General features: G+C 37.6%; 1 protein-coding gene and 1 long non-coding RNA gene across 3 annotated transcripts in view; one reads left to right on the top strand and one right to left on the bottom strand.

The window, feature by feature from the left end:
• CCDC148 (coiled-coil domain containing 148) overlaps positions 1-12,807 on the top strand; it is a 285,681-nt gene extending 272,874 nt beyond the window's left edge. For both annotated transcript variants that reach the window (NM_001301684.2, NM_138803.4), the window contains 3 exons: positions 4,884-5,001; positions 7,219-7,359; positions 11,621-12,807. In NM_001301684.2, coding sequence (NP_001288613.1) covers positions 4,884-5,001; positions 7,219-7,359; positions 11,621-11,767 — 406 coding nt within the window. In that variant the 3' untranslated portion in view covers positions 11,768-12,807. The remainder of the gene's footprint in view (positions 1-4,883; positions 5,002-7,218; positions 7,360-11,620) is intronic.
• The window catches only part of CCDC148-AS1 (CCDC148 antisense RNA 1), a 69,520-nt gene extending 52,290 nt beyond the window's left edge, over positions 1-17,230 (bottom strand). The window contains exons 1-3 of the long non-coding RNA NR_038850.1: positions 17,157-17,230; positions 7,185-7,279; positions 5,768-5,819 (exon numbers count right to left, since the gene is read on the bottom strand). This is a non-coding gene — a long non-coding RNA (CCDC148 antisense RNA 1). The remainder of the gene's footprint in view (positions 1-5,767; positions 5,820-7,184; positions 7,280-17,156) is intronic.
• Between the last annotated feature and the right edge of the window lie 222 nt (positions 17,231-17,452).

The following is a 17,452-nucleotide window of genomic DNA, read 5'->3' as shown; positions in this document are numbered from 1 at the left end:
TGAGTAAAATCTGAGCCAAAAATGAATTTCCCAACAGGCAGAAACAGGTTCCCCGTGATGCTGCCACTGAAACACCTGATAGTAGCACCTCCAGCACATGCCTGTTTAAAGATTTCTTGTTGCATATTGACTAAGCCACATGACTTAAACACTAAGTAGCAAGTTTGATTATAAACTGCCTTTAATTCAGTAGGGCAAATTACTTGCCTGAAATGTTAGGTGGTAGGGGGAGTTCCATACTAGTTAGAGACCCTAATGAAGATACGTCTTTATGCTCCATTTTATTGCTTAAGTTTTTTGTTTGTTTCTTTGTTTGTTTTAAATTGTAGAACTTGCCACTATTGACCATTTGTCAGAAGTCTTTTTCCCCCTTGGTGGCTGTAGCTTCTTTTGAGAGGAAAGTTAGCTGTGACTCCAGATAAAAGGGAGATCAAGATTTGGTACTTATCATTTTGCCCGGTTCTCACTGAAGTTTCAGTGAAGCCCAGGGAAGCTGTTACTACGGATCAAGGTGTTTCCAAACATTTGCATTTGTATACTCATTTCTTAGAGTGCTGTGCACACATTAAAATGTCTCATAAATGATACATAAATTCTCCATTTCTACATGAAAGCATACTGTCCCTTCAACTACACTCAGGCCTGGAGGCTTAAATAAAATCCTTTCCAGATTATTGTTAGTGCTGTGCCGGATTCTGCAGCAGCTGTTGCTTTTGAACAATATGATGCTTCTCCTCCCCCAAGAGAAGTCGAAAATGCCTCTTTTGCAGCACTTTCAACCTTTGTAGACTCAGGGAGCATATAATAGACTGAGAAATGAACCCAAGACGGTTTCTGTTTGGGAATTCAGTGCACAACTTAAAAACTATTGAGTTTAGCCACTTCCTGACATTGACTTTCATAGCAACAGTTTAATTTGGAGAAAATCTGCTACCTCAAGTGGCTAAAAGTATTTATGTGGAAAAATTTCCAAATGATTGACTTTACTGTGTTGCTATTTTCTTTCCCCATGAATATGTGAGTATTTGGCTTCCTCCCAGGAGTTTTTCTGCATCACTTCTCTTTAGGCAAAGAAAATTTTCTATCCAGAGTAGAAGAAGCACCAAGAGTTTCTCCTTTTTTAAGTGAAGTATTATTGAGTTTAAACCATAGCATCTGTAAAAATGAAGAATTTGAGTGTGTCTCCTAAGTCCTGAAATTTTTTCATGGCCAATCCTTCAGGCAGTCAGAGTAACCTTGATCATCACTTTGGAGCCAATGCAACTGTGGTCGGCTCTGTGCACCCTCCAGCTCCGCCTTGTCTCTCGCCTCTCCATTTGCATCAGTTTTGCTGCAGGACTTGTTTGTCTCCATGCCCTCTCTTACTGCCTTACCTCACCTCATCCACCTCTGTGGGATGTTCTCACCAAGGTCACCAATGACTCCCTGTTGTTTAACCCAATCATTATTTTGCACTAGAATTGATCTTTCTGTAGCATTTGATGTTGTTGACCCCATTTTCCCTAACATCTTAGGACCACTTATCCTCCTCACTTCCCTAAATGGTTTCCTCTCCTTCTTTCCCTTTCCTAAGTGTTGTTTCCTTAGGAATCAATCCCAGGCCTACCTCTCTTCTTACTCTACACTCTTTTTCTAGATGGTGGCATCTGCCTTGTGGCTTCAATTCCGTTCTACTGGTAAAGACTCCCCATGTATTTCTCCAGCCCAGATCTTGTGAAGACAGGTCTGTGTTCAAACTGAACTTAATTCTTTCACCTCCCTGTTTCTCATGTGAGTTCCCAGTCTTAGGGAGGAACACCCCTGTTCACTGTGTAAGAGAAAATTTCCTCTATCTCTTTCCCTCTCCCATAAAATAAATGAAAACTTTCTGTTGATTTTTATTTTCTACATGTCCTTTAAATCCCTATCTTTTCCCAACCTCCTATGAGTACTCTTCCCCCATCCTAGATCAGGAGGCCTTCCATTCCCATCTGGATTGCTCATCTCTAGTCTTGCCTCCCAACAACCCATCCTGCATATCACAGCAGATACTTCTCCCTGATCAAAACCTCTCATGCTTTCAAAACCCCCACAGTCCAGCCCCTCTTGCTTCTCTAGCTTCAGTTCTTGGCCCTCTGCACCTTATTTTGCTCATTTTTGGTTATTCTGAATGTCTTTTAAGACATACCTGCTCACTCTCACCTCTGGGCCTTCAAATGCTACTTTTTTGTCTGAATCATTCTTTCTATTCTCTCCCCTCCTGGTGCATTCCTGCTCCTTCTTTGGATCTTAAATTCAGAGTACTTCCTCCTATTATAGATACTGCCCTAAAAGCCCCAAGTCTGGGAAAGCTGTCTTTCCCATGGTCTCTGCCCCATTGTCCCATCAGAGCACAAGCTGCCCTGTATCATAATTGCCTGGGTCTTTGTATCTACATTGGATTGTCAGTTCTTCGAGGACAGGAGCATGTCTCCCATGTTGACGTTGTATCACCAGTGCCTAACACAGCCCTTGATGCATGGCAGGTGCTCAACAAATACCTGTTAAATAAATGAATAAGCCTCAAAGTAAATGATGAGTCAGCCTTCTCTACCACACAAGTACAAATGCCTTTCTCTCATTTGCAATTTCTTCCTCACTAGTCAAGCTCCCCTGACTGTAACAACTATTACTTTTCCACAAAACAGACAAAAACTTTGTTGCAGACAAAGCAACCTATATATCCCAAAGGAAGAGAAACTTTCCAAAGGTTCTGAGAATTAGCATATGGTAATTGTCAAATCCCAGGGTATTTTTTAATTGAACCTTCACAGTAGTTCACTTAGCTTGTACTCAGTGCTTAAATTGAGTAGAACCTCATTAGGGAGGTTGTGTCATGTCATGCCTTAGTGAAAGTGGAGAGAATGAGAAATAGAGCTTTCCATGACATGGAGGCGTGAGAGAAAGGGAGCATTCTGGTTTGTGGGCTCTTTAATCTATGTGTCTTGACTATATTGACTCCTGATTTTGGCAAGAACACTCATGGCCATCAAAGGAGGTTAGGATTTTCCTTCTAAATCTCATTCTGGGTTTTGTATTCCACAAGGATCCACTGTGTGCTTCCCTCCTTTCCTCTCCTGTGTCTCTCCTTTCATGACAGACTCATGAGCAACCTGTTTCTGGGGTATTCCTCCCCAGGAGCATGTCTTCCTAAGGGAACCCTGTGGCTGCAGCCTCAGCCACCAGTACTTGCCTGGGCTTCTCTGTCACTCATCATTCACTTGTTCTGTTCTTGCCACCCTGAGCTCTTCCCCTCTCGTGGCCTCCATGACTAGGTCAAGGCAAGTGAGGGCCACTCTCAGATGCCAGCCCTGCACTTGCTGTCTCTGCCTGGAATCCTAATCCTCAAGACCCTGCTCAGATACTGCCTCCTCCGTGAAGCTCTTGCTAAGTTTAGCCAGCCCCTCCCACAGTGCAGTGATTGGTCATCTCACCTTTCTCCAAATTCTCAGTGGCTCTTATTTGTACGTCTCTTAAGATCACATGTCTATGCTTCTATTTCTTTATATCCATAAAATGGAATTAAAAAATGGCAACCCAGCATGTGATTGTTGTGAGGTCTAAATGACCTAAAACATATAAAGCACTTAGCACAAGACCTGATGCAGGGTGAACACGCAGTAAATACCAGAATCCAGAATGTAAAAGGTCTAGTGAAGGTGTCTCCACCTTGGAAAATGCAGGTGTGCACACTAAGGGTAAAGGACATTTGTGACTGATGCCACAGAGAAAGCTAAATCTTTCAATGATGAAAGGCAGAGGTGGAGAGCTAATACTCCCCTGAGAACCCAGGTGCCTACTCTTTTGAAAGGATGAATTCCATCTCTATAATTCAGTAGAAGTATAGCTTGGGCAAGGAGATGGCAAGGGAGGCTGCCCAAAAAAGGCAGCAGAGGAGGGCCAAGGAGCTCAGGGCTTTAAGCTGGTATTTAAGTGGGCCATATTTTAATAGCCGATGATTTTAAGGGGGTTGGAAATAGAATGCTAAGGGAAAGTCATGTTTTTGCTGCCATCTACAGATGTCAAAGTGCAATTTTAAAAGTTGCTTAACACACATACGCACCTACTCAGAAAGTGAGAATGTAGATGACAATATATGTAAAGTTTAAGTTCTAGTAAGTAAAATAATTTAGACATATTATTATAGTAGCTTATTTTACTTTTCCTTCTAAAAATTTGTATATTTAATCAGTAATGTAAACTTTCTAACAACCCAAGGTGTGCTAAAGCTTCTCATTGGGAGACCACTATAATAGCTCACTTGAAAGTGAGCCAGTCACCTCTCAGGGCAGGTTAGCCAGAGCCATGGCAGCCAGTGGGTACTCTGAGAGTTAATAAAGTGATTTCAATGAGGAATGAGATGAACTGAATTTTACTCCCACGCTTTCCTGTATTTCTCTGGTTGTTATTAGAATTACTATGAATTCCTGTAATCTCAGCACTTTGGGTGGCCAAGGCAGGCGGATCACGAGGTCAGGAGATTGAGACCATCCTGGCCAACATGGTGAAACTCCGTCTCTACTAAAAATACAAAAATTAGCTGGGCATGGTGGCGGGTACCTGTAATCCCAGCTACTCGGGAGGCTGAGACAGGAGAATTGCTTGGACCCAGGAGGCAGAGGTTGCAGTGAGCCAAGATCGTGCCTCTGCACTCAAGCCAAGACTGTGTCTCAAAAAAAAAAAAAAAAAAAAAAATTGCATTTTATATGAGTGTCTTTTATTGATTTGGACTTGAGAAATCAGTAAAAAAAAAAATGTGACAGTGCTGTTACCTCTGAGATGTGTTCTGCCCCTATGCTGTTTTCTGTACAATCTCCAATATTATTATGATGCTTCCACAACTTCCTTCTGTGTTATTTTTAAAGGGTTAAATATAGACAAGAATTATTGGAAAGGCGTTTGATGGAGAAAAAGGAAGTGGCCCTTCAAGAAGCTCATGAAGACAAAGAGAGAGCACGGCGGCTAGAAGCCCTTAGGAAACAGGTGTTTTTCATTTGGAAATTTTCATGGGTGGTTTTTTTAAAAAAAATGTTTCTAAGTGCTCTTAATAGCATTCTTACTGGGGCTTAGTTCATGACATCTGCTATATAAAATTTAACTTTTCCAAATGGGGATACTGCTGTTCATTCCTGGGAGCAATTAGATTATATTGAACCATTTCCAGTTTCTCAGTGTATTGAAAGAACTTTATCATCACCTTTTAAAAAGCTCTCCCAAGATTTAACTATATCTATATCACCTAGAGTTTATTAGCTGGATAGTATCCATTTACAACAGTGAGGCTCTACATCTAGTCTACGAATTTTACTGTCCTCAAAAAACCTGGTGGAGTTCGAGCAAGATAATCTTCTTTGGCATAGGAGCCTCCCTTTGGAAACATCCCACAGTCAACAAATGTGTTAAAAACAGTTTTTTAGAAAATACCTATTTTGTGGAGAAATAAAAGCCTCCTATCACTTTGCCTAGTGAAAGTAAGCAAAAGTAGATGAAAATGGATGGTAGATGGCAAGGGTGAGAATTTAAGAACTTAGGAAATGTGATAGTTTTACTTGGTAGTTTTTCAGAGTTTTGAACTTGAAGGGGTTGTTTCAACTCAAAATCTCTAAAATCTTCATTGACACCGTTTCCCAGCTAATAGGAAAGGACTACTTGGTTTCCCTCCTGTGTTGCTGGAGGGAACACAGAATCATGGATAAGAACTTGGCCTCTGGTGTCCTTCCAACCTGGTACAAGCTGGTTGTGTACTCACCGGCACTGGAAACAGGTCATTTACTTAACCTCCGTAAGCTTTATTTCTTCATCTGAAAAATGGGAATAATAGGATCTGTCTGATAGGTTTGCAATAATGTGAGTTCAAATTTATTATTTACTAAGTGTAAAGCCCTCTTCTAAATGCTGTTAGGTATTACTTCAATTTCTACAACAACTTTATGACGTGGGCAATATTAATATCCCCATTTTATAGGAGAGGAAACAGAGGAGACACCGAGGTTAGGTGCTTTCTTCAAAGTCACACAGCTAGTAAATGTTATACTGATTCAAACCAAGGAAGTCTAGCTAAATGAGATGGTATAGATGTGGCATAAATGCATACGACTATTATATCATCATCTTCTTTGATAAAAAAAGATTATAAAGATAAATTTAAAGCATAGGAATGTAAGTCCTGGTAATCCTGGATCCTACAAAATTTTAGTTATTCAACTTATATATCATGGCCTTCTGGGTACAAGACTTAATGTCACTATTACTGAACACATTCTTGTTCAAAACATAACTTTGATAACTACAGTCTATATGATTAGAATTCTTTCCATCTGTGAATGCTTTGAAAGAGGAAATAGCTGTTATCTCTTATCTATAATCAGTATTTAGAACTGTGATGTAAGCTATTTTAGCTAGCAAACCTAAAATAATTAAAGCATGTTCAACCCTCAGTTATTTTATTACAGTCTTTAAATGGCATTAAGAATGCCATTTTCTTCATGCTAATTCTTGACTTTCAGAATTAATAGGCAGGTGTTACTAATGGTGCATATCATTTACAAAATTAGTGACTTCTTTTCATTAAGATGCAGGTTTGAATTATAAAAGACAAGGGCATTTGGGTTAAAATGACTTTGCAATTTTTCAGTAGAAGGAGGACAATGGTTTATAGCAGTCCCTGGAAATCTAGTTGCCTGGTACAAAGGAAATTCACCCACCTTGTTCACTAATGCCAACACACTTGACCCAAGAATTATATGCTCTAGATCCAGTTCAATCAGGTTAAACTTCCTAGGAAACTTCATGGGGTTGTTACCATAACCATAAATTGCTAATGGTCAAAAAGTGAATTTTTTTTTACTTTCTGTGACTTTCAAGTTGGTTGAATATGTAAGGTTTTCTATATGAGATTTCCTGTGACTTCATATCAGAAAGATAAATTGTTTTCTGAAATTAATTATAATTATTCAATCATTAGCAAATAACTATATGCCAAGGCATTTTAATATTTTGTCTTATATGTATTGTCTTGTTTTGTTTTAACTCCTTTGTGGATCTCTAGGACTGACCAATTAATATTTCTTCTGCCCTTTCCTCTCAGGCTTTACCTTTAATAAAATTTCTTAACTTTAATGGGCATTAGACATCAATAATGTTGCCCAGAAATATTTAGTTTGTACCTTGTTCCAAGTAGCCATGCTTTCTCATTTTTAGGTTGCTGTTGTTGCTCAATTTGATCCTGTTAGAATGATGTCAGATACAATGGCATCAAAAGCTAGAATGGGCATTGAAATTGAAGAAGAATTTATTCTTCAAAAGCCACTCTTCACATTGAATACATACAATGAACAGCAGGTAATTATGGAAATTAGCATGACTGATGAAAAAGCCATGATGATGGTAAGGACTGTAGAAGTGTGTGTTTGGGGTTACAACAGTTTTCAATATTTACATTTGAATATCTTACATATTAGCATAATTTTTACTTCTAAATGATAGTACATAATTACTACATAATTCTTAATATTACAAACTAGTTAATAGGCTACCATAGAACAAGAGGTTACCTAAAAATGTTATAAATCTGTCATTGAAGCTTATTTTTTAAATTTTTTTAAAAATGCTTTATAAAATTTTATTTGAGAGCTCTGTATTAATATTGTATTTTGTTGTTTAAATGTTTATCTGTTACATTAAGAATTATATTTAAATTCATAATATAAATTATATTAATAAACAACTGATACTGATGACAAAGCAGAGGAAAGTTTTTAGAAATGAAAATGAACAGAAGATAATACATCAGAGCTAATGATAAAACATTTTTTACGGAAAAAGGTGTTAAGGGCTTATTTAACCATTTCTAGGAACCTAGGGTTCATTTTAATCTGTGCCTGAGAATCTGTGCCTGTAACTGAGAAAGGATTTTAAAAGATCTTTTAGATGGATGGATTGAGGGATGGAAGGTAGGAGGGAAAACAGATGAATGGATGGATGGATGGATGGGTGGATGGATGATATATCAGTCACTGAAATTAAGAGAGAAAGTAGTTGTCAGTTTTACAAATCTAAGGAGAGAAGCTAAATAATTATTTAATTATTTAAAAACCAGGAAACCATCCATTCATCCGCTTATGTCTCTACTTTGTGCGGCATACTTTGCTAGGGACTCTAAAGAGGCATAATTCATTTATTAATTGAACCAATATTTATGGAACATATATTATATTCTGGCTCTGCGTATGGTGCCTGGGCTACATCAGAGCAAGATAGGCTGATCTTGTCTGGAGGAAGTGAGCAAAAGAGCCTACTGGGGAAGGAAAGTAGCATGTGTAGCAACAATGCCACCAGGGTGGGATCAACTCTGTAATGAATGTCTAAGGGTTGCCCTAGGAAGAAGAAGGGAATGAATGGCTAACCCCGACTGGAGAAGTCAGAGAAGGTGTCAGAGAGGAAACTTCTGAGCCCTATCTTAGTCAAAGATTTTTGGAAGCAGTAGCAAAATCCACTCCAGATGATTTACGATAATAACAACAAAAATAGGTTGTGGGGGAGGATACATAGGGAGAAGGATTAATTACAAGGTTTAAGAGGTGTCTCTAGATCCTAGCTGCTGAAGTGGGGAGAATAGCTGAGGCTTGAAAGGATTGAAATCAGAAGCTAAAAAGTCTCAGGCCGCTGGGCTAACCCTTATACTCGGTTGACCTATTTCACCTCTGGGTTTGACCAAGCGGAAGAGGGTGGGGCAAGGCTTTTTCCTAGTATGTCTTCAGTGTAAGATACATGACAAGGGGTGCATGACAAGTGCTGGGAGAGGAGACTGGAAACATGTGTTAGGTTCAGGCGCTGAAAAGCATAGTAGGTCTTGCTACTAAGGCATTTGACCAGTAGTAGCAAGTAGGCCTTGCTACTAAGGCATCTGTATGCAGATGCCAGACTTTGAAGCTTTAAATTATATACAGTCATGTGCCCCATAACAGTGTTTTGGTCAAAGACAGACCACATATATGTTGGTGGTCCCTTAAGATTATAATTGATCTGAAAATTTTCTATTGCCTAGTAGTGTCTTAACATCATAGCACAATGCATTTCCTCTTGTATGTTTAGTTTCACAAGTACTTAGCATTGTGTTACAACTTCCTACAGTAATGAGCACAGTAACAGCTCATTACTTCCTACAGTAATGAGCACACTAATGCTGTACAGGCTGTAGCCTAGGAGCAATGGCCTATATCATATAACCTAGGTGTGTAGAAGGCTGTACCATCTCAGTTTATGTAAGTACATGCTATGACATTCACACAACAAAATTGCCTAAGGACACGTTTCTCAGAATGTATCCCTGTCATTATGTGACACACAACTGTAATCAGACTTATGTTTTAGCTATGTGTCCTGAATGGAAAATTGGTGGGGGTGGGCATGGGTTGGGGTGAGTTCCTTTTAAAATGGCAGAGCCTTCATAGAAGTAGTGGTGGTGGTGGGGTCATGAATGGCTCTGGCTGAGAAAGGGAGAGGACAAAGAAAGTAAGGATGATTCGAAGCTAGACAACAAGTAATATTAAGAGCTGGTGTTTTGGATTCAAATCCACATCCGCTGTTTATTGGCTGGGTGCATTTGTATAAGCTATTTACGTCTTTATGCCTTGTTTTCCTCATCTGTAAAATAATTATTTACAAAGTCCTTGTGAGCATTAGAGATAATAAATGTCCACTGCCTAAAATATTTCTTGGTACCCAGTAGTAATTCAGTAAATTATAATCATCTGGTGGTGCTGCCATTAACCATTTAAGAATACAGAAAGAAAAACAGATTTAGGGAAAGAGAGAATTTGTTTTACTTATACCATGTTTAGGGTAAAAATATCTAGTACATATTTACAAGAAACTGATGGGCTGCCTGTGGGGAAGGGAATTGGGAAGATGGAAGTTCCGGTAGAGGGGAGATCTCCATTTCACTCTCTAGCTATGCAAAAATTGAATAATAAAAAAAAATTTAAGCCTCACAACATGGAACTGAAAAGAGAGGTGAGTCCTAGATGTAATTTGGGAGTCAATGGCATACAGGTTGCACATGAATCACTGGAGCACATGAGAGCAGACCAGGGAGAAGACATTGAGACAGAAGAGGAAAAACCTGGGTCTTAGGCTCATATTTATTGCTTCTCAGACACAAATCTCTGTATTATTCTTGACTTCATACTCATCGTTGCCCCAAGCCCTGTATCTGATCAACTGCCAAGTGCTATTGATTCTTGTTTTCATAGTGTTTCTGACAATTATCTCTTCCTTGCTACCAGCCAAGTTCAGACATTTATTACTTTATGTCTAGACAATTGTAGTAAATTCCTAACCACTCTCTCGGCCTCCATTTCTTCTTTCCCTGCCACCTTAATTTATTCTGAACTTACAATCAGACCCATCTTCCTATGCAACTACAATGATTATATTATTTTTATGCAAAAACTAGAAACAAACATACCCTAGTAGCTCCTTAGACTCGGCATGGCCATGCAAGCCTTTTAAGTTCAAGTCCTAGTCTGAGAAGCATCTGTTTCCAGTGTTCCTCAATGGTAACCAGTACTCTGCTCAAACCACCCTTATCCCAAGTTGGCCTATTTCACCTCTGAGTTTGTAGGTGTCTTCCTTTCTCATTAGGTCTCTCTTCCTCCCCAGTCTGCTTTATAGACTAAGTTGGACTTTAAGGGTAGTTCAATTGCTCATCTTCACCTGAGACCATCCGCATGCCGCCACCACCAGGAGATGCACCCCCATGTTTTACTACTTTTAGGGCATCTGCCACATGTTGCCATAATCTGTAGTTATCTGTGTACATTTTTATTGCCCCAGTTCGCCTAAGAGCTCCTGGAGGGGCTGCTTTTACTAGCTTATTATCACATCCTCTAGGGGGACTTCAAATCCATGTAAAATGCCTCATTAGGTAAAATCCATATGTGGCCACCTTCTTATCATTTCAAACAGTCTCTGTTGACATTTAATATTCATAGGAGGAGGGGAAGAGGAATAAGATCCAATCAGCTATAAATGAAAACAGAAGTTGAACTACTCATATGTCTACTTCCACTTAGAATCAGATCGATGGAGGCATTTTCTACTTCTGTTTGAAATAGAAATCCAGCCTTGGAAGAAAAGTTCTATTGATTTTGTTTTTCAAGTGGTGGCCATGTGTTTAAACTTAATTTACATATTGCCAGATGATGGAGAAATTAAGATGCTTTTTTTGTGGCTTAGATTTATTTTAATCAATGATTATCTGTATTTTATAATTCCAGCCAGCAATAAGTGATAAATCAATAGTAGCACTGAAAGTAAGCTTCTTTTACTTCATCTTTTAATAATTTTAACGCATTATATTTTGACTAATCTAGTACACTATGTTCTATATACCCTACATGGGAAACCACTGATGTACTGAAAAGTGATAATGTCAAAAAGGTTTAGATGTTTCCAAAATATAGTCACTGTATTCACAGTTTACTGTCACCTAGTCATCTGTCCAGTAAAAACAAATTAGTTTGGGAAAACATGGAACTAAATGTTAAAAGTTATTTTAGTTCAATGAATTGTTATTTAAATTGTATTTTTATTTCTACAGATAATTTCTGACCCTAGACTTCGCTTCGAGTTAGCACTTCGAGAAGCTGGACTTCATAGAACACTTTATGCTAAAGAGATATTACCAAAAATTAGTCCTCAAAAACCTCCAAGAAAGGACATGGAGTCTACTGTATTTAAAATATAGAGCTCATCCTCAAATTCTATATGTAAAGAGCATTTTTCTTTGAAAACATGTATATGGATAATAATAATTACTACTTTCTAAAATGTTTGAAATATCAGACATAGAAATCATAGCATCTATTAAAACAACTTTGCCTTTCTTTTGTGATTCTTAGAATTTTATGCACTATATTTCCTGTATCTTTAAGTTATATTTAATAGTACTAAATTCCCCCAAATTATGGAACTTAATTATGGCACATATAGTACTTATACTATAATTTAGTAAACTACATGTTGGAGGTTATGTTATCCTATAAAAAGAGCTCAAAATAACTTTGTGAGAATTATAAATTATGTAGCTGCTACCTGCTAATGTTCATTTCTGCTTGTTATTTCAGAATTTGACTTTTTAATTATGGAAGCTTCATTATCATTAATACTTCTATTATTTCTTGATTATTATAAGAGGAGACTCAACCTTTCTCTAAATTTAGAAACCAATTTGGTACACCATGTTTACTGCAAACCAATCATCCAAACAATTTCATTTTGCAAATTAGCCCTTAAGAATAAATTAGAAATTAGAAATAGCATTTCAAGCATGGGAATATCTGTTTTGGTTTGGAAATATATATATTTGTGTGATTGTTTAGAAGAAATATTTAAAATTTCATAATATTTGGAATGCTGTCAAAAATTCCAAATTATCTATTAAATATTTAGATGATTTTATAGAAAAGGAGCATTTAAAATAAAACTCAAACATAAATATTTGACTATTTCTAAAAAATAATTTTTCAAGCAGAATAACAAGTTAGTGTTGTTGAAAGTTGCCATTGTTACAGTTAAGATTACCCCACTCCTTTTTCTGTCTATTGCAGCTCCCTGACATTTCCCACCTACCTCCCAGGGGTTGCAGCCTCTGTGCAATTACTGGAATAATGTAAAAAAAAAAAAGCCCAATCCAACTAGTGGAATCTTTGACTTTATGATTGTCCCCAACATCATGGAAATAAAAAATACAAGTACAGTCCCGTTAGAATAAATCTTCACAAAAGATTCTATGGGCAATATCTTTATCTGCATTCCAAAATTCATTCTAACACCCTTTTTGTTGCCTCGTCATAACATCTCATAAAAAGAGAGGAAGGAGTGTTTAACAAGAGCTAGAGAGTAGTGAGCATTAGTGTTTATCCTTACAGTATCTCCCAGGGTTACAGTTTTCCTTTATGGGTCCTCAGTTTGCTTGATGTGACGCCTCAGACATAGACCCAAGAAAGCCCTGCCATGTCAGAGCATACCCTCTCTAAACAGCATGACACCAATATTCCTCAGAGTCCACAGATCCTTTCCAACATCAACATCCACACTGATGTCCAGAGGATCACACTCAAATTCCAGCTGAATAGTATCCCCTTTACGTTTTCCCAACAGTCAGACTAGTAGCTGGTGATAGTACTGTGAGGGATAGCACCACCATTTTGAGAACAATCAACTGACACGTGGTGGTTCCTTGTAGACTCTGGGTATTAGACCTTTGTCAGATGGATAGATTGCAAAAAATTTCTCCCATTCTGTAGGTTCTGTATTCACTCAGATGATAATTTCTTTTACTGTACGAAGCTCTTTAGTTTAATTAGATCCATTTGTCAATTTTTGCTTTTGCTGCAATTGCTTGTGGCATTTTCATCATGAAATCTTTGCCTGTGCCTTTATCCTGAACGGTATTGCCTAGATTTTCTTCTAGAGTTTTTATGGTTTGGGGTTTTACATTTACATCTTTAATCCATCTTGAGTCCATTTTTGTAAAAGATGTAAGGAAGGAGTCCACTTTCAATTTTCTGCATATGGCTAGCCAGTTCTCCAAGGACTATTTATTGAATAAGGAATCCTTTCCCCATTTTTTTTCAGGTTTGTCAAAGATCAGATCTAACCAGCATTTTTTAAAATAAAACAAAATTGAATAAAGAAATCTGAAATCCAAATGGCTAATGAACATATGAAAAGATAGAAGTACCAATTAAAGCCCCCAATGAATTATCAATATATACCCACCAGATGGGCAACAATGTCAAGAAATCTAACAATATCATGTAGTGATAATATAGAACGATGGGAAACACCTACTGGTAGTGGGAGTGTAAATTGGAAGCATTTGAACTTATCTGATAAGGTTGAAAGCATTCATACTCTGATCCAGCAATTCTACTGCTAGATAGATGCTCTTGAGAAGCTCCTGCATGTGTGTAGGAGGACATAAACTAGGATTCCCAAATGAAAACAAGCAGAATGTTCATCAACAGTAAATAAATATAAAAAATGTGGTGTATTCAAATACGAATTGCATCCAGCAATGAAAATGAATAAAAATAGCACCATGGACATATTTAGTGAAAGGAGCCAGAAACAAGAGCATGCATACTGTGTAGTATTTTATTTATCTAAGGTACAAAAGCAGGGCAAACTAACCTATATTATTTAGGGATATATGCATAAGTGGCAAAATAATAGAGAAAAATAGAATGATTAAAATTAAAATCAAGGTTATGATTACCTCTCAGAGATGCAGAGACAGTTGGGAGTAGGGGCTTCCAAGTTACTGAAAACGTTTTATTGCTTAACCAGGGTAGTGATTAGAGGATCTGTCTAATTATTCTTTAATGTTTACATAAGTGTTTTACTTATATACTATAATAGGTCAATGCTATGAATTCCCAATGAAATGAAAAAAATTTAGAAAATTATGAAAACAATCTTTTAGCATATAAGTGTATTGGAAATAATCTTGTTAGCCAGTTTCTGATTTAATATCCTTAATTTACATGTATTTCTGAGACAGGAAGGCCAGTCCCTGCTCGGGAGTCATATTTACCCTGACATGGGATAGGATCCCCTTTATTTTCCTCCTCCCCAACCCTTGTGCTCTGCTTCAAAAGGTTGTGGCTCTTGCCAGTCTAGTTTGCCTAGCAGGCTTGAAAAAGAAAGAAAAGAGAACATACCTAATAGGAGTAAGCACTGGGCCATGAAAGTTTATTTCAATTATCTGTGTTTCTGTATAGTGGGTCATAAGAAAAATATATTTATTAGTGGGTAATGGTCCAAAAAAAATTTAAAAACCACTACCCTCAATCCCATGGTTAATAAATGGGATATCCTGATACAGCTCCACATCTTTGAAGACGATGGGCTTGTTTCAAACTGAAAGGAAAGAATGTAATCCATCTAGTAGAAATTCCCTTACCTCCCTACCACCAAATCTGCAAATACACCCAAATGGGCATTTACTTTTGCATCCTCTAGCAGAGGGAGAAACCCTCCCTCTATCAGAGACCAATGTTTCCATGTGTGTTTTGGGTTTCATCCCATCTCAACTCTGCAAGAATTTTTCTTTTTTGTTTATTCTTTTTCTCTTCTATATCTTCAAGCTCTCTCTCAGCATACAAATATGCTAGAATAAACTCCACTTTAAAAAGAAATCTCCATTAACCCCGTATTGTCCCCTAGCTACCAGGCTGTATCTCTGCTCCTCTTCTCAAGCAAACATTTTTAAAGAGTTGCCAATAGCCATTAAATGTCTCTTTTCATCTTCCAGTTACTGTCACTCATTTGATTTAGCTTTGCCCTCAACTCCTCTGACACTGCTTTTAGCAAGGTCACCAATGAACTGTGTGCTGGCAAATCTGATGACCACTTCTCAATTTTCATCTTATTGACTTCATGACAACATTTGATTCAGTTGACAACTACCCCATCCAGAGCATGCTTTTCTCTTGGCCTCTATGATACCAGCCTGCTTCACCTCTTGCTTCTCTGGTCATTCCTCAATTCCTTTTCTGACTCCTCCATCTCTATCCATCTCCAGATGTTGAAGTGCTCCAGGATTAGACCCTTTAACTCTATCTTTTTAATTGTATTATCCAAGGGGACATCCTTCAATGCTGTACTTTAGTTTTAGCTTTAAATTATGTCTTTTAAGTGTTTTTTAATCTACAGGCTTCCCCCTCCATCCATTTTCCCTGTTTGCATTTTATTTATTGAAGAAACAAAGAAATTTATATGCAGAATTCCCTATGCTGGATTTTGTTGACTTTATCTTTTTGGTGTACTAATAGTTTAATGTATTCCTCTCTCCTTTGTTCTTTGTGTTTGCCATAAATTGGTAGTTGACCCAGAGGCTTTATCAGACATAAGACTCAGGTCGTTCTCTTCTTTTCTTTTTTCCAAGGCTACTTTATTGTGGTGGTGTGTTCCCCCAGCAGGATATGCATGTTATCGGATGGAACTTCTTTTTGCAATTTTTGCTGCCACTAATTCTCAATGCCTAAGTCCATTAATTACTTACAGATTGCATGGTAGAGATATATTCAAATTCAATCACTCTTTCCTTTGTTACTGGAAAAATTACATAAAGAAAAAAATTTTCCTCTTCTGGTATTTGATAGTATAAGAGGAGTAGGCTAAGTGTTTGAGTTTTTTTTTTAACCTAACAGTTTTACAAATAATGAATTTATTCTTTGACATCCTGCAAAGGTGATCAATTTTGTTGTATCTTTATGAAGTTATGAATTTAAATGTATTTGATCATTTACTCTATTAAAGTGTTATCCTTATTGATGCTCCATTTATTCCCCCTTTGCCTAATGGAAACCTTTTCAGTTTGGCTTATGAATTCTATTCAGATAGCCTAATAGACTTGGTAACTTCCTTGCTATTCCAGTTATCTATTGCTATGCAGTAAAACTTAGTGGTTCAAACTTCATTTTTAAAAATTATTTCTCATGTTTCTATGAGTCGACTGGGCTCTACTGGGTAGTTCTCACTTGGGGCCTATATTAATTTCCTATCACTGCTGTAACAAATTACCACAAATTTAATGGTTTAAACAATGTAAATCTATCTTATAGTTTTGGAAGGTCAAAAATCAGAATTTAATCTCATTGGGCTAAAATCACAGTGTTGACAGGGCTGTATTCCTTTCTCAGGGCTCTAGGAGATAATCGGTTTCTTTGCCTTCTCCAGCTTCTAGAAGCTGCCTATAGTCCTTAGCTCATGCTGTCTTTCTTTTATCTTCAAAGCTAGCAGTGGCAGGCCTAATCCTTCTGACATCCCAGCACTCCACACTCCTCTTTTGCCTCCCTCTTCCACTGCTCAGAACTCTTGTGATCACATTAAGCCCACTCTGATAATTCAGAATAATCTCCCTATTTTAAGGTCAGGTGATTAGCGATCAGAATACCCTTTGCCATGTAACATAACATTCACAGATTATGGAGATTAGGAAATTGACATCTTTGGGAGACATTTTCTGCCTACCACGGGGTATATTATAAATTTGTAGTCAATTGCTAGTTGAGGACGTAGTCATCCAAAAGCTCAACTTGGCTGAATGACCAAGAGGACTCACTTACCTGACTGGCAGTTGATGCTGGTTGTTGGCTGGCAGCTCATTTGAGGTTGTCAATGGGACCGACCACCTACACATGACTTCTCAAGATGGCTTGGCTTTTCATAGAATGGTAGCTGGGTTCCAAGATAGAATTTTCCAAGAGCAAACATTCTAAGAGGTATAAAATGCAAGCTGCTAGACCAGTTAAGATCTACTGCTGGAACTGGGATAGGGTCTTTTCCTCCATACTCTTTTCATCAAAGCAGTCATAGAACTCTCCCAGATTAAAAAAGGCTGAGAAAAAGTCCACTTATTGAT

This window comes from Homo sapiens, chromosome 2, assembly GCF_000001405.40.
Source record: "Homo sapiens chromosome 2, GRCh38.p14 Primary Assembly".
NCBI lineage: Eukaryota > Metazoa > Chordata > Mammalia > Primates > Hominidae > Homo > Homo sapiens.
This window is presented reverse-complemented; position numbering and strand designations above follow the sequence as displayed.